At 40.6% G+C, this 23,097-nt stretch overlaps 1 long non-coding RNA gene across 2 annotated transcripts in view, besides 1 other annotated feature; it reads left to right on the plus strand.

Moving 5' to 3' along the window:
• LOC105369905 (uncharacterized) overlaps nt 1-23,097 on the plus strand; it is a 72,972-nt gene that overhangs the window by 10,120 nt on the left and 39,755 nt on the right. The window contains exon 2 of one of the 2 annotated variants that reach the window (XR_001749261.3): nt 15,596-16,788. The exons of the other annotated variant lie outside the window; for it this stretch is intronic. This is a non-coding gene — a long non-coding RNA (uncharacterized LOC105369905). Of the gene's footprint in view, nt 1-15,595; nt 16,789-23,097 lie in introns of those variants that run through there. 2 annotated transcript variants of the gene reach the window in all.
• Nucleotides 3,119-3,248: an enhancer, noted in NCBI's record as "active region_6751". NCBI's record gives its function as "activates an Ori minimal core promoter by ATAC-STARR-seq in GM12878 lymphoblastoid cells {active_cell/tissue: GM12878}" and the evidence as "EXISTENCE:reporter gene assay evidence [ECO:0000049][PMID:35858748]".

Genomic DNA, 23,097 nt, shown 5'->3' on the forward strand with positions numbered 1-23,097 from the left:
AAAAAAAATCAAAAAGTGGGTGAAGGATGTAAACAGACACTTCTCAAAAGGATATTAAGGTGGCCAACAAATATATGAAAAAAAGCTCATCATCACTGGTCACTGGATAAATGCAAATCAAAACCACAATGAAATACCATCTCACAACAGTTAGAATGGCGATCATTAAAAAGTCAGGAAACAACAGATGGTAGAGAGGATGAGGAGAAATAGGAACGCTTTTACACTGTTGGTGGAAGTGTAAATTAGTTCAACCATTGTGGAAGACAGTGTGGCGATTCCTCAAGGATCTAGAACTAGAAATACCATTTGACCCAGCAATCCCATTACTGGGTATATATCCAAAGGATTATAAATTATTCTATTAAGACACATGCACACATATGTTTATTGAGGCACTATTCACAATAGCAAAGACTTGGAACCAACCCAAATGCCCATCAATGATAGACTGGATAAAGAAAATGTTTCACATATGCACCATGGAATACTATGCAGCCATAAAAAACGATGAGTTCATGTCCTCTACAGGGACATGGATGAAGCTGGAAACCATCATTCTCAGCAAACTAACACGGGAACAGAAAACCAAATACCACATGTTCTCATTCATAAGTGGGAGGTGAACAATGAGAACACATGGACATAGGGTGGGGAACATCACACACCAGAGCCTGTCGGGGGGTGGGGGTCTGGGGGAGGGATAGCATTAGGAGAAATACCTAATGTAGAGGACACGTTGATGGGTGCAGCCAACCGCCATGGCATGTGTATACCTATGTAACAAACCTGCACGTTCTGCCCGTGTATCCTAGAACTTAAAATATTTTTTAAAAAATAGATAATATTGGTTACTATTTTACTGTTAAAGATCAAACCAGGAAGACTAACAGATAATTAGTAGGAATTATGAAAAATAAGTAACAAAACGGGAGGAAAGCAAATTGCTAATTTGAATGATAAAAGAGATTCTGTTCAATTGAAAGCCTTAAGATTTCAGATGGGAAGAGCCCACCAGTGGCTGTAAAATGACTTCTACCACGTGATCACGGCTCAAAGGAAAAAGCAGAAAGGAAAAGCAGATCATATCATCTGCAAAAGAATGAGAATCAAGCTGGCATTAAATTTCACATTAGCAATACTAAATGCTCAGGAAAAAGGAATAATGCCTTTAAAATTCTGAGGAAAACATATTTTTAAACTATATTCTCTATACCTAATTAAATTACTATACAGGTGTGAACATAGATCACATTTGCATGTACTGATTTTCACACATTCAAAGAATCAGAAAAGCTGCATCTCACATACAGTTTCTTAGGAATTGTGTTGAGTGTGTCTTTCAATAAAAGGCTGGAGTTCCACAAATGAGGAAAGCAGCCCAACAAAGAAGAGACAGTTGTATAGGAGGCCTAGACAACAAGTACAGACAAGAGTAACAGGATGAAGCACTCTTCCCTGAAGTAGCTTCAGAAGAAGGAAGTTTCTGGAAAAATTTTAACCAAATCTCTGATGCAATGGACAAAAAAGTTGGGCACGTAATAAAGGCAAATAGTACTTTTAAAAAGCCAGTTAGCAACTTCAGAAAAATTAAAAGCTGTACAAGACAGGAAATATAACAGCACACTTCTTGACACTGTGATAAACAATACTGTTTTGAGTCCCCGTGTAAACACTATTCATTGATTTACAAAGTTACAGACAAAGATGATGGAATTACAATTAGAGAGCAGAAGGCAAATCTTACTAATCTCAACATCATGTAGGAACAGCAAAAACGGAGGGAAGCAAATTGTTAATGTGAATGATAGAGGAGAGTTTGTATAGCTGAAATACAAGATTTCAGATCAGAAGAGCTCGCCAGTGGCTGTAAGAAGACTTCCATCTAGGATCATGACTTCAAGAAAAAAGCAGAAAGGAAAAGCAGGTTATCTGCCAAAGAATGAGGATCAAGCTGGCATTAAATTTCACATCAGCAATACTAGATGCTCAAGAAAAAGGAAGAATGCCTTTTTATTGGGAGATGGAAGTGGAAGAAAAGGACTGAAAAGATGAGGACTCACAATAAATTGCTTACTGTTAAAGGAACAAATGTTTTCCTTACATAACCAATAAAGGTCTAAAATAGAAATATGACTAACGGGAGATATTGAGTGACTTAAGTTACATTCTCATCTGTCAGTGTAGGAAAACAAATATCATATATAAAACTAATAACTCAAGAGTTATCAATGTAAGCATATTATTCAGAGATAGAGAGGTTACTAACCAAAAAATGCTATAAAAATTAAAAGTTACATGTGTGGAGAGACATTGAGGATAAGAGGAGTGGGACAGGAATGATTACTCTTCAGCTGGAGTGCTTTTGTCTTTTGTTATTGTTGTTATATGGAATTTTCTCTTTTTGATAAAATTTTTAAATGGTTAATATAAAAACTCAAGTATACAAATGTTACTAAGACATGTGCAATCCACTATTAGACACAGTTGATCAAATTTATGTAAAACTTAAGCGACAAAGTATTCTTCTACAATATATTTAATGCTGAACATGATTTCAGGACAGGGAGATGCTCACTTTATTTTGATAAACAGCCATTAATTCTCTAATGTTCAAACCCAACAAGATGTAGAGTGTTCTCCAGTATCGCCTTCCATTTGGAGACATCTGTGCTCATTGATCTACAAAGGGCAGGGAATGCCTGATTATTTTATTATGTCATTTGCTACTACAGGAATTATTCATGATCATTTACCAGCAAGCTGAGAACACGTGGGGCTGATATCTTGATTCAGAACACCAAGCCTAAAAGGGATACAAGTACTTAGTAAATTTAGAAGCCGATTCCACTCTACCACCAGCACCCCCTTCATCTTACCTTTAAACACATGCATTTATCACCATCTACCTTTAAACACATGCATTTATCACCAGAAACTGTATGTGCATTTTGCAAAGAATGTCCTTTTGTGCAGCAGAGAACAAAGGGATTTTTCTGCAAAACGATACTGAAACCTGATCACTGATGCATACTCTCTTGCCAGCATCTTGCCTATTGAATATCATCCCAGCCTATTATTCCCATATTGTTCTCTTTGGAAAACAAAAAGATGAGGAGTCCATTTAAAGTGCTCAAACAGCACCCTCTGCTGGTTGAGTTTAAGCTGAAGATTTGATGTGTAGCAGGGCTTAGTGACACATGGCAGAAAGAAGAAAAGAAAGCAAGGGAAAAACTGTAGACCAGGATGCATAAGGCAAACATAAATAGAACTCCATCAGTAATTTTGGTTACATATAAGGAAACGGATATTTTAGGCATCATAGCACATATATAGTGCAAAGACACTGTATTAATTCCTAATAGAATACTCCGTTCTTACAAAAAGAATATATTGAGCGACTTTGCATATTACCTTCAAGTTCTTTACTTTACAAAATAATTCACAAATTCCCCCAGTGAGTTCCTCTAGTGCTCTGAATATGTGGCATGACTTACACTCTATCTTTGGGTAACATATTAACTGTGCAAAACTAACTGCAAACTGTTTCTTAGGTCACAGACCAGGGCTCTTCATGATACCAGAGATACCTGCACTTACGTGACGTGTTTTTAAGTGTTTAGGAAACATTCAAAATTAATTTTTAATGTCTTGCTAATATGTAAGAAACAAGGGTTTGGAGATGGCAAGATTAATTTCTCCAACAAAGAAAAAAATGAGTAGCATATGTTCTCCAGGGCAGGGGATCTGGAGATCTGTTTTGCTTAATATAGTATAAATTCTTAATATATTGAGTAGCAATTAAAAACAAGTGCAGTCTTACATTTTAGAAGAGTGGAGCTAGGATTTTTTTATATCTTTGACTAAAAATCAATTAGATATTCAGCTCTCCCTGCTTGCCCAGGGAGTGGAGTTCACTTCCCATTCTCACTAAGCGTTGGTAGCAGAGAAAACAGTCAACAGATTTTAGACAGTTACATAGTGAGACACCCTACGGGCCTTTATTCTGTTTCCTCCAAAGTAAGAGCAGGGGAAATTTAAATGTCCACAGTCACCAAGCCATAAAGTACATGAACGGCACACACTGAGTTTGAGGAAAAGCACGTGATCCTCTTGGTCTATCTTTAATTTTTGGTGGAGACAACAATATCAAGAAACAATTATCCACTATAAGAAAAGCAACAGTGCAAATATGATGATAAACGATAACTGAAGCCTTGCTTTGATGTTAGGGAGAAAATTAGGAGTAGGAAGACTGATGAAATGGAGAGTGTGTGCCTCACTTAAACTGGCCAGATACCGCCAGATGCGGTAGCTCATGTCTGTAATCCCAGCAATTTGGGAGGCTGAGGTGGGCGGATCACTTGAGGTCAGGAGATCAAGACTATCTTGGCTAACACGGTGAAACCTCATCTCTACTAAAAATACAAAAAATTAGCTGGGCGTGGTGGCATATGCCTGTAGTCTCAGCTACTCAAGAGGCTGAGGCAGGAGAATCGCTTGAACCCGAGAGGCAGAGGTTGCAGTGAGCCGAGATCACGCCACTGTACTCCAGCCTGGCAACAGAGTGAGACTCCGTCGCAAAACCAAAACAAACAACCAAAAAAACTGGCCAGATACTTAGCACTTGTCATTGCAGCCATGAAGCCCACAGGGACCAGGGTTGCCACATCATTTGATGATTCAAGAGGAGCTTGAAATCAGAATATTTACTCTTTGGGGCTCAAATCTTCACAAAAGAGTCTGTGAGCCAAAACAGAAAAATATTTACAAACTAAATTTATCCCATGGGCCAGCAGTGTCCAACTACCACAGACTCAAAGTTCTTTCCTTCTGCCTCAGGGCCTTTGTACATGCTCATCATTCTTCCAGTAATTTTCTTCTCTCATTCCCCCTGCCTTCCTCCTAGTTAACTACACTCATCCCTCTGATATTGACTCAATTGCCACTGCCTCCAGGAAGTCTTTTCTGATCGCTAGATTAGGTTAGGCCTCCTTGTGATATGATCTCCCACTTTTCTGCATCTTTTCATCATAGCACATAGCACAGTTTGTAATTATATGTTTATTTGTATAATTTGAATTTTTTTCTCCTCCACCATGAGGTCAGAGGCCATGTCTCTGTTGTTCAGCAGCACATTGCCTATAATAAAGGAGGTATTGGTAAATAATTGCTAAATGAATGGTTAATAACTTTAAAGTAGCTCTTCATAGTCATAGCTGGAGCTATTCGTCTGTGATTAATATCACAGGAACCCTTAGATTTGGGCATGAAGGTGGGAAGGTCTGGGTTTGAATCTTAAACAGCCTACTTACTGTCTGAGTAAGTTGCTGACCCTCCCAGAATTTGTCTCCTCATCTAAAAAAAATGGACCTCAGATTTGTGCTGAGGACATACCTAAATACTTTTACAGTACTAACACCTAGTAGTTGTTCAATAAATGCTAATTATTATTATTATCATTACCTTTAATATTAATAGTCTACTCACATTGACTTGCCCACATCCCATCTGGTCCCAGTGGTGAGAGTTTGACAGATCTGAAATAATAGTCCCATTTCCATGCTTTTGACCTCAGAAGAGCATTCTCCCAACTAATAACTAGACACAAATATCTGGACTCTACTCTGTATTCAGGAAATCAGGCCTGGAAGAGGTCTTATAATCCAGTGTTTTAATCATAGAATTTTATTTTAAGTCAGAAAGATTTATTCACCACCGATATCTTTCCTGAGTGTGTAAGTGATCTAAATCAATCCCCTAATAACATGGGATATTTATCTTAGGCCCCACAACCTGCCAAGAGAGAGTTACAAACTAAGATAGAACAATGGGCATATTATCCCTGAGGAAAACCATGTGATTCTCCGACGTAGGATGTCTGGGAAGGAGGCACTAGGTGTGAGTCACGGCATTGGAGCCAGGCTCACCTGGGCTCATGTTTTTTGTCACCTCAGCTCTGTAGTCTTGGCCAAATCATTAGGCCTTGCAGGTAAAACTAGGCTCATAAAACTTGCTGGGAGGGTTTTTTTCAAGATGGAAGAGAGTGTGTGGAACAGAGCCTGGCACATGGAATAGGTGCTCAATGAATGATACCTGCATAACCAAGGGGGATTTGAGCATTGAACTCATTGCCCACCACCACTTCCCCCAAATAAAATTCTATTTAGTCCACACAGAATAGTACAAACCACCACAGGCTGGGTTGTGTACTGTAAATCATATAAGATTTCAAACTTATTATGGAACAAATGAGACCATCTTTGAGACATTTAGGATCACAGATAAACTGGGCCAGAAATTTACCCATTATATACAACCCTTTGTCCTCTCCTTCCACCGAAAAGCAAGGAGAAGTCTGACCTCACCCGTAGTGCTTCTCTGGAAGTCTGGCAGGGAAACCAGCCAACTATAGTCACTAACCTACCACATAGTGGCTGTTTCCAGCATTTACATTCTAAGATCAGGTTGGTACCAGGTTCATCCTGTGACACAAATCTGGACCACTTTGTAACAAAATGTCCATGAGTCCCGCCTTTCATCATTTTCTTTTTTCTTTTTCAATGTCTTCATGATCCCAGAGACCTCACACCAGCTTCCCCAGCCCTTAGCCTCCCCCTCAAATTGAGCACAATACGGATAATCATCTATTGCTCCCAATGGAGAGCATCCACAGTTCTCAGTTATACCCACGTGGCAGCAGGCCCTGAGGCTGACCCGGGTACCTGTTGGTCTTCCTGACCATGGGAACACAAAACCATAGTCAGATTTACCTTCGTTTTCCCAGAAATTGGAACGTAGAAGATGCTTGCTTGTATCTGCCCACAAAAGGGACTATCTGTGGCTGATTTATCAGAGAGGAATTTATTCAAAGGATGTTGGGTGATTCCCAGAGTCTCCAGGAAGCTAGATCTGTGTGGCCAAAAACAAGGCCCCAAATAGAGCCAAGTGGGGTCACCCCTGCAGAACAGATGCTGCCCTGGCACCACCAACACCACCGCCACCTCCTCAGCTGCCTTGACTGTCCTCAGGAGCCAGCTGTGCTGCTGCTAAGAAACAGCTTTTTCTCTTCCCCATCTGCTCTGTACTACCTCCCTCCCAATTAAAAATCCAGGGCATGTGCCCAGGCCTACCTGCAAGGGAAAATGGAAATGCGGCTATCTAGCACTATCAGCTTCTACCAGGAGATGGCCTCTTGCCCAAAAAGACTTACAAGGTAAAGAGTTTCTCCATGAGACAGGGTACAAGTCCTCGGCAGCCAGAATTATAACATGGCCAGTCGTTACTACACCTACTTCTGAACATTGACTGGAGTCCAGACTGTGTGATATTTGGTTTTCTTAGGGCTTACTACAGCAGCTGAAAATGACAGTGCTCAATATCTGTTTGTTGGAATTAGAATTAAAAAAAAGAACAGTGAATCTAATGCCACTGAGTTTCTTTTCCTCTGGGTCCCATGACATCCACTTTGATTCTCCGTGTTGTCCTAAACTTTTAAAGTGCCCAGACTCAGACTCGCTCTGCGCCACAGAGTGGATGCTGAGAACAGCACGCTGTAGGCACACCAGCCACACTCGAACCCCTTCCTCCAGCCTGATTGCTCGGCCAGAGCCCCAGAGCTGCCTGGCTTCCCTGTTCTTTGGCTTTGTCTTCTTCCCATCACCCCCTTGCCCTTTGGACTTCCTGACTGCATTTGGCTCACTTACTTTTTGACCCTGGGCTCTTTGCAGTGTTTCTCAACAGGGGCGTTGGTGCAGAACAATTCTTTGTGAAGCTGAACTGCCCTATGTGTTGCAGGACTTTTTAACATCTCTGGCCATGCTCATTAAAGGTTAAGACTGTTCTATGGTCATGGGAGGAAGATCCCCAGTGGAGAAGCCCTGCTTTATAAAGACTGCTCCCATTCACCCTGGGTTGCTCCTTGGTTGGGTCACTCCTTCCTACTCTGCACTCTGGACTTGAACCCAGCTACCTGCCCATCTTGACAGAATTCCACACCCATTTGGAGGGGGCAAACTCAATCAAAGTTAGCATTGGGAGGAACTATTGGGTAATAACTGTACAGAGTCAGGGAGAACTGAACTTTTTTCCTCCTCTGATGTGTGATTTGCACAAACAATCATTTTGAGCTCCAGATTCTTCATTTGTAAAATAAGAGGTGTCTTAGGTCAGGCTACCCAGGAGCAGAGCCTGAGACGGGGATTTTTTATTCAAATGAATTAATGGGGGAGTGCTCTTGGGAGAAAAGGAATGGGGAGAGCAGGTAAAATAGTTTTTACATTTGCAACAATATGCACATTGCCACATTACCTTCCAGAATGACTATAAGCATTTCTATGTTCCAGGTTCTATATGAGGATAAGACTGACTCTTCTTTTGACCGACACTGTGTAACTGTAAACTTTAATAGTGGAAATGATGCATAGTGTTATTTTTAAATATTTCAAAGGAAACACTCATAGTTTAAATGACCCACATAATTCTGCTAATTGCTAACTAAATTTTTTCTGTATTTATAACATTGGTTATCATAGACACTTTGAAAATACTGGTCTAAAAATTATATCTGAGAATACATTATGATTAATGTCCAATTTTAGATTTATAAAATAGGTTTTTAATAATAAAAGTTGATATTAATATGACTGTCTGGGGCTGGGCACAGTGGCTCACGCCTGTAATCCCAGCACTTTGGGAGGCAAAGGTGGGTGGATCACGAGGTCAGGGGTTTAAGACCAGCCTGGCCAAGATGGTGAAACCCTATCTCTACTAAAAATACAAAAAATTAGCCGGGCATGGTGGTGGGTGCCTGTAATCCCAGCTACTCGGGAGGCTGAGGCAGAGAATTACTTGAACCCGGGAAGTGGAGGTTGCAGTGAGCCAAGATGGCACCACTGCGCTCCAGCCTGGGCAACAGAGTGAGACTCCATCTTAAAAACTATATATATATATATATATATATATGTGTGTGTGTGTGTGTGTGTGTGTGTGTGTGTGTATGTATTTATGTATATATGTGTGTGGGTGTGTGTGTGTGTATATATATATATATATATACATATATATATATATGACTGATGCTTAGGTTTTAACCTAGATCATGAGATAAACAGACTGTCAATCATATTTGCTGCTCACCCACTAGTTAACAAATCAGAAATTATTAATAATCAAAAATTGAAAATTTGTCCAAGCAAACAGAAGGAAAGAAAAATCTAAAAATACTATATGAAATGATAATTGCATTCAGTAAGCAGACAAATAATTTTGGCATTAGGAAATTTAGAGTTTGTTCCCAGCTTTGTCACTGATTTGCTGGCCTTTGAGGAGTTACTTAAGTGTGCCATAAAACAGAGAAATAGAAATGACCCCTGCATTTCTACTCTCCTGCACCCTTGGCCTAATATTGCACCAGATTTTGTAAGTTTCTTAGAAACTATCTGCCAAGCACTTTGAACTCCTTGAAGACGGGTACTTTATAAAAAGAATTTCAGCCTATGGGTTCCTGGGCTAGTTAAATAAGTTTATCATGTTTTTTTTTCTTTTTTCTTTTGTTTCCAGCCATCGTACAGCTTAAGGCATTTCATGTTTCTTTTTTTTTTTTTTTATACTTTAAGTTCTAGGGTACATGTGCACAAAGTGCAAGTTCGTTACCTATGTATACATGTGCCATGTTGGTGTGCTGCACCCGTTAACTCTTCATTTACATTAGGTATATCTCCTAATGCTATCCCTCCCTCTCCCCCCACACCACAACAGGCCCCAATGTGTGATGTTCCCCACCCTGTGTCCAAGTGTTCTCATTGTTCAATTCCCACCTATGAGTGAGAACATGCAGTGTTTGGTTTTCTGTCCTTGCGATAGTTTGCTCAGAATGATGGTTTCCAGCTTCATCCATGTCCCTGTACAGGACATGAACTCATCATTTTTTATGGCTGCATAGTATTCCACAGTGTATATGTGCCACATTTTCTTTTTTTTTTTTCCAGTAGGAATGAATTTGTAATTTTGGGGGTAACACATTTACCTTGAGCTAAGTAGAGATAGATGAAAAAGAATTTGCAGTAAGAAAGTAAATAATCCCTAAACTAGCTATCTTCTGGGAAATATATACAATTTTAAACAGTAAAATGGTTTTCTACCAAGTAAATTATATAGCAGAAAAATACACTTAAATTTGGATTTAAGTTTTTCCCTCGATTCTTTTTTTTTTCTTTCTTTTTTTTATTATTATTATACTTTAAGTTTTAGGATACATGTGCACAACATGCAGGTTTGTTACATATGTATACATGTGCCATATTGGTGTGCTACACCTATTAACTCGTCATTTAGCATTAGGTATATCTCCTAATGCTATCCCTCCCCCCTCCCCCCACCCCACAACAGTCCCCAGTGTGTGATGTTCCCCTTCCTGTGTCCATGTGTTCTCATTGTTCAATTCCCACCTATGAGTGAGAATATGCGGTGTTTGGTTTTTTGTCCTTGCGATAGTTTGCTGAGAATGATGGTTTCCAGCTTCATCCATGTCCCTACAAAGGACATTAACTCATCATTTTTTATGGCTGCATAGTATTCCATGGTGTATATGTGCCACATTTTCTTAATCCAGTCTATCATTGATGGACATTTGGGTTGGTTCCAAGTCTTTGCTTTTGTGAATAGTGCCGCAATAAACACACGTGTGCATGTATCTTTATAGCAGCATGATTTATAATCCTTTGGATATATACCCAGTAATGGGATGGCTGGGTCAAATGGTATTTCTAGTTCTAGATCCTTGAGGAATCGCCACACTGTCTTCCACAATGGTTAAACTAGTTTACAGTCCCACCAACAGTGTAAAAGCATTCCTATTTCTCCACATCCTCTCCAGCACCTATTTTTTCCTGACTTCTTAATGATTGCCATTCTAACTGGTGTGAGCTGGTATATCATTGTGGTTTTGATTTGCATTTCTCTGATGGCCAGTGATGGTGAGCATTTTTCCATGTGTCTGTTGGCTGCATAAATGTCTTCTTTTGAGAAGTGTCTGTTCATATCCTTTGCCCACTTTTTGATGGGGTTGTTTGATTTTTTCTTGTAAATTTGTTTAAGTTCTTTGTAGATTCTGGATATTAGCCCTTTGTCAGATGGGTAGATTGTAAAAATTTTCTCCCATTCTGTAGGTTGCCTGTTCACTCTGATGGTAGTTTCTTTTGCTATGCAGAAGTTCTTTAGTTTAATTAGATCCTATTTGTCAATTTTGGCTTTTGTTGCCATTGCTTTTGGTGTTTTAGTCATGAGGTCCTTGCCCATGCCTATGGCCTGAAAGGCATCTCATGTTTCTTAAAAAATTATTGTACAAGAGACGGCCAGGCGCGGTGGCTCACGCCTGTAATCCCTGCACTTTGGGAGGCCAAGGCAGGCAGATCATGAGGTCAGGAGATCGAGACCATCCTGGCTAACACAGTGAAACCCCGTCTCTACTAAAAATACAAAAAAAAATCAGCCAGGCGTGGTGGCGGGTACCTGTAGTCCCAGCTACTCAGGAGGCTGAGGCAGGAGAATGGTGTGAACCCTGGAGATGGAGCTTACAGTGAGCCAGAGATCACACCACTGCACTCCAGCCAGGGCAACAGAGCAAGACTCCATCTCAAAAAAAAAAAATTATTGTACAAGAGACTAAATAGGAGACACACAAAGCTTCCCAGTCTCATAACCTACCAGTTTCTGGAAAGCTTCCCCAAGACAGTCTCCTTTTATATATGCCTTAAAACATTTATAATACTTCTCTGTAACAACTTTAAACATTTCTTTTTTTGATCCCAGATTAAGACTCGATTCTATACAAAACATTTTTGTGAAGAAATTTAAAAAATAGTACCTGTGTTTCCTCAATTCTAAGACACTTTGATTCTATAACTTATCTTCAATTTAACAATAGCTTTATTGTCATTAGGAAAAAGGAAACATTACAATAAAAGTACACATATGGAGAAAATATTTGCAAACTATATATATGATAAAGGGTTAATATCCAAAATATATAAGGAACTATTATCTAAGTTCAGATTGGCTTAGAGTAGAGGACCTGACTGCCAGTCCAGGGTCCCAAGTCACTTAGACACGAAGCTTCCCCAATGTGTCTTGAATGTTTTCATTCCCAAACCACCAATGGGCCTTTGTCTCAGCCATGCTCAGGAAAAGTAGGATTTACGGGGACCCATAGGACTCGCCTATTCCCAGATGGCTCCCCCAGCCTGCCATACATTCTCTGCCCTGTATCTATATCCTTTGAAATCTCCACTGAGATTTTCTTTTTGGTTAAGAGCAGGGCATATGTGAAATTATAGCTGAAATGCACATTATCTAAAAGGGAGCATTCTTTTATACATTACTAAGATGAATTTCAGATTAAATAAATCACACCTATGATTTTTTTTTTTTTTTTTTTTTGAGATGGAGTCTCGCTCTGTTGCCCAGGCTGGAGTACAGTGGCGTGATCTTAGCTCACTACAACATTCACCTTCCGGGTTCAAGTGATTCTCCCGCCTCAGCCTCCTGAGTAGCTGGGACTACAGGCGCGTGCCACCACATCTGGCTAATTTTTTGTATTTTTAGTAGAGACGGGGTTTCACCGTGTTAGCCAGGATGGTCTCGATCTCCTGACCTCGTGATCCGTCCGCCTCGGCCTCCCAAAGTGCTGGGATTACAGGCATGAGCCACTGCACCTGGCCAACTCCTATGATTCTGTTCACTTGTTCATTCTGTTTATTTGTCCCTCTTCCTACAATGACTTTCCCTGCATACACACACATACATACAAACACACACACACACATATATAAATGAAACCATTCAGCAAATATTTATTGAGGTCTGCTACAAGGTAGCGCTGTGTTTATAGACACTGAGGGTACAGTTGTAAGGGAAAAAAGGTACTAACATTTCCCTAAAGAATCTTACAATTTAATAAGAGAAATCATTTAATTTCTATTTAATTTCTATTAATTGTGTAATTTCCATTATTCTTTATCAATCGCTTAATTTAACGATTATAGGAATAAATCCATAAGTAAAATTGTAATCCATCCTCTATAAGCCAAGCAGGCAGTGTTTGGACTATACGATCAGTTGTCTTAACCTTGTCAGGTGGAAGGGGAAAGCCTTCTAGCCCTGGTGGCAGGTCCCAGGGATGTTCATTTTAACTGGTCCATGTATAAACCCAAAATGCAAAAGCAGGTCATATAGGTCTAGGTGATGTTTCCAGCCAGGAGTCATGGAGGGAATGGGACTTTAAGGGATTGTTTATTCTTCTGGAAAATCTCCAAGAATAGCTAAAGGACACAAGGCAAAGTTACAGTATGCCAAAAACTGCCTATCCAAGTGGCAGCATCACATTCCCTAGCCTGCTGCCTTTCCAGGCCACTGCCCAATGGTGGCCACTACACACCTACAGGAGATGGTGTGTAGGAACCTCCATGACTCCTTTCATGCAGGACAGCAGAGGTTGGGTGGCCAAGAGCATTAAGACGCCTGGACTCTACAAGATGAGGACCACGGAAGAATAGATGGGTCAGACAAGAGTATGACCCACAGAGGAAAATTTGAAAACCATCACTCAAATATAATGTTCTCTCTTGCTGTGAGTCTCCATTTTCTATTTTTTTCCTTATATTTTTGGCACATTATTTTAGGTGCGGTGGGTCTATTTTGGTTTCCCCAAAGCAATACTTTAGCAATAGAACATCTGTCACCTTGAGAGCCTGAGAGGAATCTCAATATTCTTCATCATTTTGTAACCAAATCCTAATGTATCAGACATTGACCCTGTTAGTAAGTATCTAAAATGTGCAGGGTACACGAAATTAAAAAGATTATAACCCCCAGTACCACACACGCACACAGATCTTGTTCTTCCTGTGCCATGTGACAGATCTTATCACAGATATGTCCCAAAAGGATACACACATCAATTATCTCATTTGATTTCTCTTTACTGTTTTTTTCTTTGTGTCATTTTAATCAATTTTTTGTAATTACGGACAATGTTCTTATCTAACAAGCAGTATTTAAAATATTTGTTTTTGGGAAACAACATTGATATTGAATTTTCTACTCTCAAGAACTTTAAAAATCAAGTGAGTGACAGACAGTATGTAAGTAACACAGAGGGCTCAGCCATTGCACAACTATGAGACCCGGCCACACATTTAACCTCTCTGAGCCTCAATTTCCTCATTTATAAATAGGAGCAATAATGCATGGCTCACAGGACTGTGTAAGAACTAAATTAGATCATGTATGTAAAGCAAATCGTACAATGTAGGTGGCTACAGCATGTTAGTCCCTCCCCCTTTTCCCTCAGCTTACTGAGGTCTCTGGAGGATACAGCAAATAAACACAAATGGCATGGTGAATTCTGTGGGCTAAAAATGTGATCTTTTCAAGGCATAGGGTGTTTTAGTTTCTGAAACAACTGTTGTACATCTAAGAATAGCTCTGTTTATGACTGTGTGATTTTATCCATCTGGGTTCACACAACCTCAATGTATCAGTTAGTCTTTCACATTAGGTTTAAATTTTATTTTCCCAAAGAAAGTCTTCTCCAGGCACTTCAGTTCACAGTGATCTCTCCCTTTCTTAAATCCTCCTCCAACCTCCAAATGCATTAAGCAAAACCTCACCCTTGAGAGAGAGAGAGATTTTCCTTAATCAATTTGTCCACCTCTAAAGCAAGGATTGTAACCAATGCCCCTTTGTGTTTTTGGAACTCAACACAGTACCTTGCATTCAAGCAGGTCCTAAAGATATGCTTGTTGGTGGATTGGTTGGTTGATAGATGGACAAGGACTTAACTCCTTTGTTATAACTGTGTAACAGTCTTGCATTATCTGGAGTTCATACAGGGGAGGAGGACTTTCTCAAGGAATTCAACTGCTAATTCCCCAACAGCCCCCAAATGGTACCACTTGGAGTAGCTGAGGAGGAATCACTCAGGATCTATGATTTGAACCACTCTGAGATCTACTATAAATTCAACAGCTTCATCCGCTGCTCCCCTAGCTAAGCAATGAGCAGTGTTTCTTCTCCACTGAAAACAGAAACATTTGTCCAGTTTAGTAAATGTCAGCCCAGCAGCATGAAGAACAAAATATCGAATGTCATTTCCATGAAGCAAAGTTACTGGGCCAACAGCAGATGCATCCCTTGGCACCAGGCGAAACTCATTATGTTAGCAGCCGTAGCACCAGAGATCAAGAGCACACAAAGCCCAAGCTTTCAGGGCTGGTTAAAAAGATCCATCTATTGTCTCTGGCAGACAGTGCTAGAGATAAAGTATCCTGGAGACTCAATGTAAGGCAGGCTGGAAATGCATGTGCCAAGCCAAAACGAAAGCAAGGCTGCACAATGGTAACTACTAAAGGAGCAGCTGGTCCTGGTGGCACCAGACTGTGACTTTCAGCCCATGTCATCAACACTTGTCCATAGGGTAAACATTTTCTGAAGAGGTGCCTGTCAGTTTCCATTTATTTATAAATAAGTGAATGAATAGCATCCAACTTACACATTTTTCATGGTCTTTTTTTTTTCTTTTAAATTCTGAGGGCAGATGAGAAAGAGCACCATGAAGCAAAGTGATAACACAAGGAGAATGCAGCTCTGTCCTGGAAGGAGGGTTGACGACTGACAGATGATACATGTTGAGTCAATGGAATGAGGCAGTTGCAGGCTATTGTTGGAACAAAAGGAGGTCAAGTTTTATTCTTTTCTCCTGCTGGGACAGAAGGAGTTGGTCACAACTTTTCTTTAAAAAAAAAGGAAAAGAGGAATGCATTCCTAAATCAAGGCTTCCTGGGGCAGCGAGAACAATTGCAGCACTCCTCAGCTACACTATCTCTGTTAGTGGACAAACGCTGCTAACTTTTTAAGCTGAACTTGGAATCTTCTTGGGCTTGAGCTGTCACTCTAAGAAAGTTCTTTAAAATGCAGATTAGCCACAGGCATCTCATTTTATTAATTTCCTCTTGGAAATAACAAAATGGCTATGAAAAGACAAAACTGTGTACATTCATAAGGTTTTATATGGAGGTCTGTAGAATGCAATGATCACGAAGTAAGTTTCCTATCTGTAAAAATGGCCTTGGAGTTCTTACCAGCTTGCTCTTCAAAACAAAAAATAAAAATAAATAAATTGTATCAAATCCATCTTGGAGCAGAAGGTAAATTGGAAAAATACAAAAAGGCTGAGGATTAAATAAATGCACTTCTTTGAAACAGATGATGACATTTTCTAGGCCCAATTCAGATGATGCAGAGCTTCCTTTTGCAAAGCAGCACGCTACGCAACAAATGGCCTGACGGGCCTTTGGGTTTAAATCTCAGCTGACATCTCTCACCAAGTGTGGAAGAATGATTGCATTAATTCCCCAGTTCCTTGCTCCTTCCTGTATCCAGGTTCTGACTACCATCCCAGCCATGTTACTTTCTTTGACCAAAGGGATGTTATCAAACATGTCACAAGCAAAGAGATTAGAAACTGTGAGTTTCCATTTGTGTCTTTGCCCTCAACGACGGCCATAAAAATATGCCAGAGCTAGTCTACTGAATGATGAGAGACAACTGGAACATAGGTGAGATCACCTGATCATCTCATCCTAAACAATCCTAATCTGCTGACAGTCAGCTGACTTCCAGGCATGTCAGGGAGCCCAGCTCAGACCAGAAGAACTGCCCAGCTGAGCTCAGCCTAAATCACTAACCTGCAGACTTGTGAGCTGAATAAACACTTATTGTTCCAAGCCACCAGGTTTTGTGGTTATTTATTATGAAGCATTATTGTGGCAAAAGATAACTTATATACTACATGATACTGGATGAATCCCTTTACCCCACAAGCTTTAGTTTTCTTTAATATTCTCATATGCAAAATGAGTGTACATTTTCTTCTCAAAGTAGATGTCACAATTAAATTCATTAAATTAAATAAGGTATATGAAATTATTTAACACAATCGTGGCACATAACTGGCATGTAATCAATGAGAGTTCCTTCTATGCCTCACATTCTTCCTTTAGATCTCTCTCATCAGAAGAAACGTCTTCTTAATGTCCTCACTATTAGTTTCCATTCACCAGACACCACATGATTCATAGTTGTGCGCTGTTTGGAGCACTGTGCTGGCATCCATTGGGTACGTCGCCAACACTAAACAGAAAGATTCTTGTGATACCTGGAAAAATCCTGCGATGTGCTTGAAATTTCCCAGGTTATTGCAAAGATTCCATTTACTTCAGATCACAGCTCCAGGTTGAAGCCCAGAGAAATGGCACTGACTTTCCCCTTCCTGAAGGCTGTCTCTGAAGATACAAGCCCACGTTTCACTGTTTTACTTCTTCACTCCTCTAATAACATTTCTTGGGATCACCTTTCACAGGAACTGCTTGTATCCAAGTTTTTGCTGAGGTCTGCTTCAGGAAAATCCAAACTTCATCAATCCCAGATACCCATCTTTCTATGGAACCCACCTGAAAACTCAGATTCCAAGAGGCAGATCTAGCAAGAATATGAGAGGGAGCAGAATCATACCCTCCTTTGAAGAATATTTGATGAGTATAGACATTGAGATCACATCGATGATTCCATTCAGGCCTTCGGTATCTCCCTTCTGAGATTTTGTAGTAATCATCTAAGTGGTCTTTCTTTCAAGTTTGTCTCACATCTCCTCACTATCCCTCCTATATTCATCTCCATACAATCACAAAACTGCCATGTGGCTTCCCTCCTTAAAAATTATTAAATGCCCCCCACATCCTCATGATGAGTCCAATCTACCTAAAATAACATACAAGACACTTCTGATCTCATCATCCCTGTTTACCTCTCCTGCCTCATGCCTTACCACTTCCCTGTACCTCCCACTTTGGCCACACTAAGTAACTTGCAATTCCTGACTCTGTATGCCATGTTACATTGAAGTGCTATTTCCTCAATCTGAAATCTCTTCCTCCCATATACCTACTTCCGGAACCCCAATTCCTCCTTTGAATCCCACACATAATTGTGATCTTAAGGGTCCCAGGGACTTCATACACTGCTGAGTAAGAACTCACCATTTGTTGAGGTAATCTACTGGATTAAGGTTTCTGAAAGTGTAAGACTATCACTCATAGAGAAGCAGGCTCTTCAGGCAGGCTTGGGAGGTCATAATCAGGACATGGAATGGATTGGGCAATCATATCTACTCTGTTGCTGACTGTTCTTTCAAAACATATCTCTAATCCCTTCAATTCCTTCCATGCCTACCCCACCACCCATATCAGATCCCCCTCTCATAGCACCATGTACCTGCCCTCACTGCCTTTTTGAGTGTTTTAATTTTATATTACATGCAAGGTTAATTGATTAATGTCTGTCTCCTTCTGTAGATGGTAAATTCCTGTAATAAAACAGCCAAGTCTACACTCAGTCACTATGGATGCAGTTCTTAGTACAGAGTATGGCAGATAGTAAGCATTCAATAAATATTAGTCAAAGTAATTAGTGAATCTGTCCCTTCTATTTACAAAATTTAACCTTCAAGTCACTTCCATCATTTCATACCTAGTGCTCTATAGCAACTTTTGGCTCACATGTTAACTTCCCATACCTAATTGTGATCTTAAGGGTCTCAGGGACTTCCTACAGTGCTGAGTAAGAAGTCACCATTTGTTGAGGTAATCTACTGGATTAAGGTTTCTGAAAGTGTAAGACCATCACTCATAGAGAAGCAGACTCTTCAGGCAGGCTTGGGAGGTCAAACAGTACTTCAGTCGGCAAAGATGATGGCTTAAACACGGCTTGATAAAAAACAAAATGCAGGTAAAAACAACTTGTGTAGGAAATAGTAAGTTGTTGGCTGGGCACAGTGTCACCTCTGTAATCCTGGAACTTTGGTAGGCCAAGGCTGGTGGATCGCTTGAGCCCAGGATTTTCAGACCAGCCTGGGCAACATAGCAAGACCCCATCTCTACAAAAAAATATAGAAATTAGCCAGGAGTGATGGCGTGTGCATGCAGTCCCAGCTACTTGGGATGCTGAGGTGGGAGGACCGCTTAAGCCCAGGACACAGAGGTTGCAATAAGCCAAGATGGTGCCACTGCACTCCAGCCTGAGTGACAGAGTGAGATTCTAAACTAGCTGAGAAATAAGGTAAATAAGACAGATTAAAGACCAAAATATTACTTTTATTATTGATGAAGTTGATATTAGAGAAAGTGACTTATGCCTAAATAAGAAGGACAAATGGACTTTCACATACTAACTCAGAATTAGACAAACCATCCTTCAGTGCTAGTCTGGAAAGGCATCCTCAGGAAGAGACAAAAGTGCATGCTGCCTACAGGCAGCTGTTCCCCAAGGAAAAGAACAAAAAGGGGCAGGCCCACTTTCCCCTCTAACCTCCCCAATCACATCAGGTCACTCTACCTCTCCTGGTACATATTCAGTGAGGATCTGAGGAAAGAGGCAGGTGGTTATTCTAATGAAGCTCACTTCACATAAGATGTGGACAATTAATAATCCTTCCTAACAATTTATATCAAGGATCAACAAATGATAGCTCATGAACTGAATCCTGCCCGCTGCATGTTTTCGAGCTCCTCCCAAGCTAAAAATGATTTTTGTATTTTTAAATGATTGAAAAAACTCCTGGCCAGGCATGGTGGCTCACACCTATAATCCCAGCACTTTGGGAGGCCAAGGAGGGTGGATCACTTGAGGTCAGGAGTATGAGAACAGCCTGGCCAATGTGGTAAAACCCTGTCTCTACTAAAAATACAAAGATTAGCCGGGCATGGTGGTGCATGCCTGTAGTCCCAGATACTTGGGAGGCTGAGGCAGGAGAATCGCTTGAACCTGGGGGGTGGAGGTTGCAGTGATCTGAAACCGCACCACTGCACTCTAGCCTGCGCAACAGAGCAAGACACTGTCTCAAAAAAAAAAAATTTGAAGAATAATATTTCATGACACATGAAAATTATACTGCTTACCTATTTTCCTGAGAAGATTTGTTTCCACTTAGCTTATTTACTTCCCCTCACATCCCTCTGTTTTCTCACCCTTCTGTTTGGCTTGTCTTCCCTCTGCCTGGGGACTAGGTCATATCCATTGTTTAATCCCATCTCCATTCCCACTGAAATCATTGTCTCTGTGTGGACAATGCTCAGTTCTCCCCTTCACTCGAAATATGTTTCATCTTGAAATTTTGGCTGTATTTCTCAAGGTACCATCTCAACTCCTCCACCAACTTTTACTGCTAATGTTTTCAAAAAGCACATATTTTATACTTAATCTATTCTACTTCATCATTCATTGACTCTTTTTCAGTTCCTTCCGTTCTTAAAGCACCACATGTGGAATGGTTAAAGGACAGAAGTATGTTTACTTTGAAGAAGAGAAGGCTCAAGTTTGTCATGCAAGTTGTTAAAATTGGACAGGCTGTCAGGTGGCGGAAGGATCACGTGTCTTATAAGCCCAAAATGGAAAATGAGAATTAGCAAGTAAAAGCTACAGTGAGGCAAATTTCAATATAGTATTGGAAAGAATTTTATGTCCACCAGAATTATCCAGGGATGAAGTTGGCTGCTGTGGGTAACAGCAAACTTTCTGTTACTGGAGGTATTCAAACTTACATTAGATTGTTGTAGAATCGAAGAAAGCATTAAATGAGCTTGTAGACCAGATGGGTGCTTCTGTATGCTGAGATTTTCGTGATTATCATAAACAAAGCCATGTTTCAAGTTCATGTTATTTTGTGTGTGTTGTGTATATATAAAAATAAACCAGGCCGGGTGCGGTGGCTCACGCCTGTAATCCCAGCACTTTAGGAGGCCAAGATGGGTGCATCACAAGGTCAAGAGATCGAGACGATCCAGGCCAACATGGTGAAACCCCATCTCTACTAAAAATACAAAAAGTAACTGGGCATGGTGGCACATGCCTGTAGTCTCAGCTACTCGGGAGGCTGAGGCTGGGGAATCCCTTGAATCTGGGAGGCAGAGGTGTCAGTGAGCCAGGATCACACCACTGCACTCCAGCCTGGTGACAGAGTGAGACTCTGTCTAAAAAAAAAAAAAAAAAAAAAAAGGCCAGGCGCGGTGGTTCACGCCTGTAATCCCAACACTTTGGGAGGCTGAGGTGGCAGATCATGAGGTCAGGAGTTTGAGACCAGCCTGACCAACATGGTGAAATCCCATCTCTACTAAAAATATAAAAATTAGCTGGACGTGGTGGCATGCGCCTGTAATTCCAGCTACTCAGGAGGCTGAGGCAGGAGAATCGCTTGAACCCAGGAGGCAAGGTTGCAGTGAGCGGAGATAATGCCACTGCACTCCAGCCTGGGCGACAGAGCGAGACTCCATCTCAAAAAATAATAATAATACTCTTTTTTTATTATCATAAGAGAGTCAGGAAAATGGGAAAGAGTGCATTGTTGAGTTGAAAAGTCAAGTTAAAGTATTCACAGTGACTGAAAAGGAAATAAAAGAGGGAATCAACAGGACTTAAATAGAAGGAACATTGAGCTGTGGTGAGGGCCAAGTGTACAAAAAAGTGGACAGGTCTCAAGGGTTAGTGAGTTTTTCCAACAATGTTTAACAACTCATGGCTTTCCTACATCAGCCCTTTTCCCATACACCCCCAAATGCAGGGTCCAGAGTGATTGCACCACTGATTGCTGTGGGGGTTGGGGGGTGGGGAACCTGAGAAGCTCATTGCAGGGAAGACAGCAGTGGCTCTTTGTCTCCAGCTCCAAGCATATGTGTGTCTTTGTGAGTGCAGATCCTCAAGCATATGTCCCAATAGAAACATTCTACTCTATGGGCTTATTAAAGAATCTTAACACCTTCTAAAATTGCCCAAACCCTTATAGATGCCCAGTATTCAACAATGTGAACTGCTTGACCTATTCAGTCAGAAATAATAGAAAATGTATTAAAAGCACTACCTTTTCATGCTCTTAACATAATGCTTTGAATTTCCAGTGCATCCCAGTGGATTACTGTGAATTGTTTTGTAGGCACAAAATTTTCTGTTTGTTTTCCCTCCTACTGTATGCTATAATCTTTGAAAGTGTATTTATCCAAAGATGAAGGCACTTGTTTCTCCCCCAGCCTTCTCTGGAGGAGCACTTAACAGCATGTAGGAAAGCCTATGTTTAAAGTCTGGTTGACCCCCTAGTCGATTTCCCACCCCCGTGATTGCTCTCTTTTAATTTTCATCACAGTTCCCACCTCATTCTCCACCCCACTGACTCTCTAGGCTATCTTCCTGTTACCTGTGTTAGAATACTCCCACTCCTCTTGCCACCCCTGTGTTCAAGAGTCATAACCCTTTGGAGTGCTGTGTCTCTGTGAAAGAAGACAGAGACTGGTCAGACTCAAGGCCTTCAGGAGATTTTATGAATGTGATGGTGCCCATAGCTCCATAGGAACTATGATTATCATCATCAGCCCAGCTAGCAAAACAGACCTGCTCATCACGGTTTATACATGAAAGGGAAAAACCATTTTTCCCATCTTGCAATGATGAGCTTCTCCTTTAGGTGTGTTTTTGAATGATCTCCTGCCATTTTCTCCCCAAGAACTCTTAACATTATTTGACATTCACTTCAGCATCTTGCGACTTGGGTCCAGGAACAATAAACCAAAATAACCAAGTAAAGGAAACATGCATTCTTTATTTTTTCCCCATCCAAACACTTGCTCACTTAGAGCATTCACTGGTGAAAAGCAATGCACCTCCAGCTGGAGAGGAAGAAAGCACAGGGAAACCAGGATGGAATAAGAGTGAATTTGCTATATGGAGAGAATGTCAGATTTTTGGTTTGAATGGGGAGAAAAAGAAAAAGAATAACTTCAAAGGTACTCTGCCTTTGAGCAGGGTAATCAGCACATTTCACCTCATTTTAACTGAATATAGCCTTGCAAGTCCACTGATTCTCTCCTATTTTATTGAGAAAAATCACAAGAGCTTCCCAAATTTTTCTTTTCTTTGTCAGCATTTTATAGACGATTGGGGACAAGTTCTTTGGGCACAGACAGGCCTGAATTAAATTCAAGACTTCTCTGTCATTTA

The sequence above is a fragment of the Homo sapiens genome, chromosome 12 (genome assembly GCF_000001405.40).
Source record: "Homo sapiens chromosome 12, GRCh38.p14 Primary Assembly".
NCBI classification, from domain to species: Eukaryota; Metazoa; Chordata; class Mammalia; order Primates; family Hominidae; genus Homo; species Homo sapiens.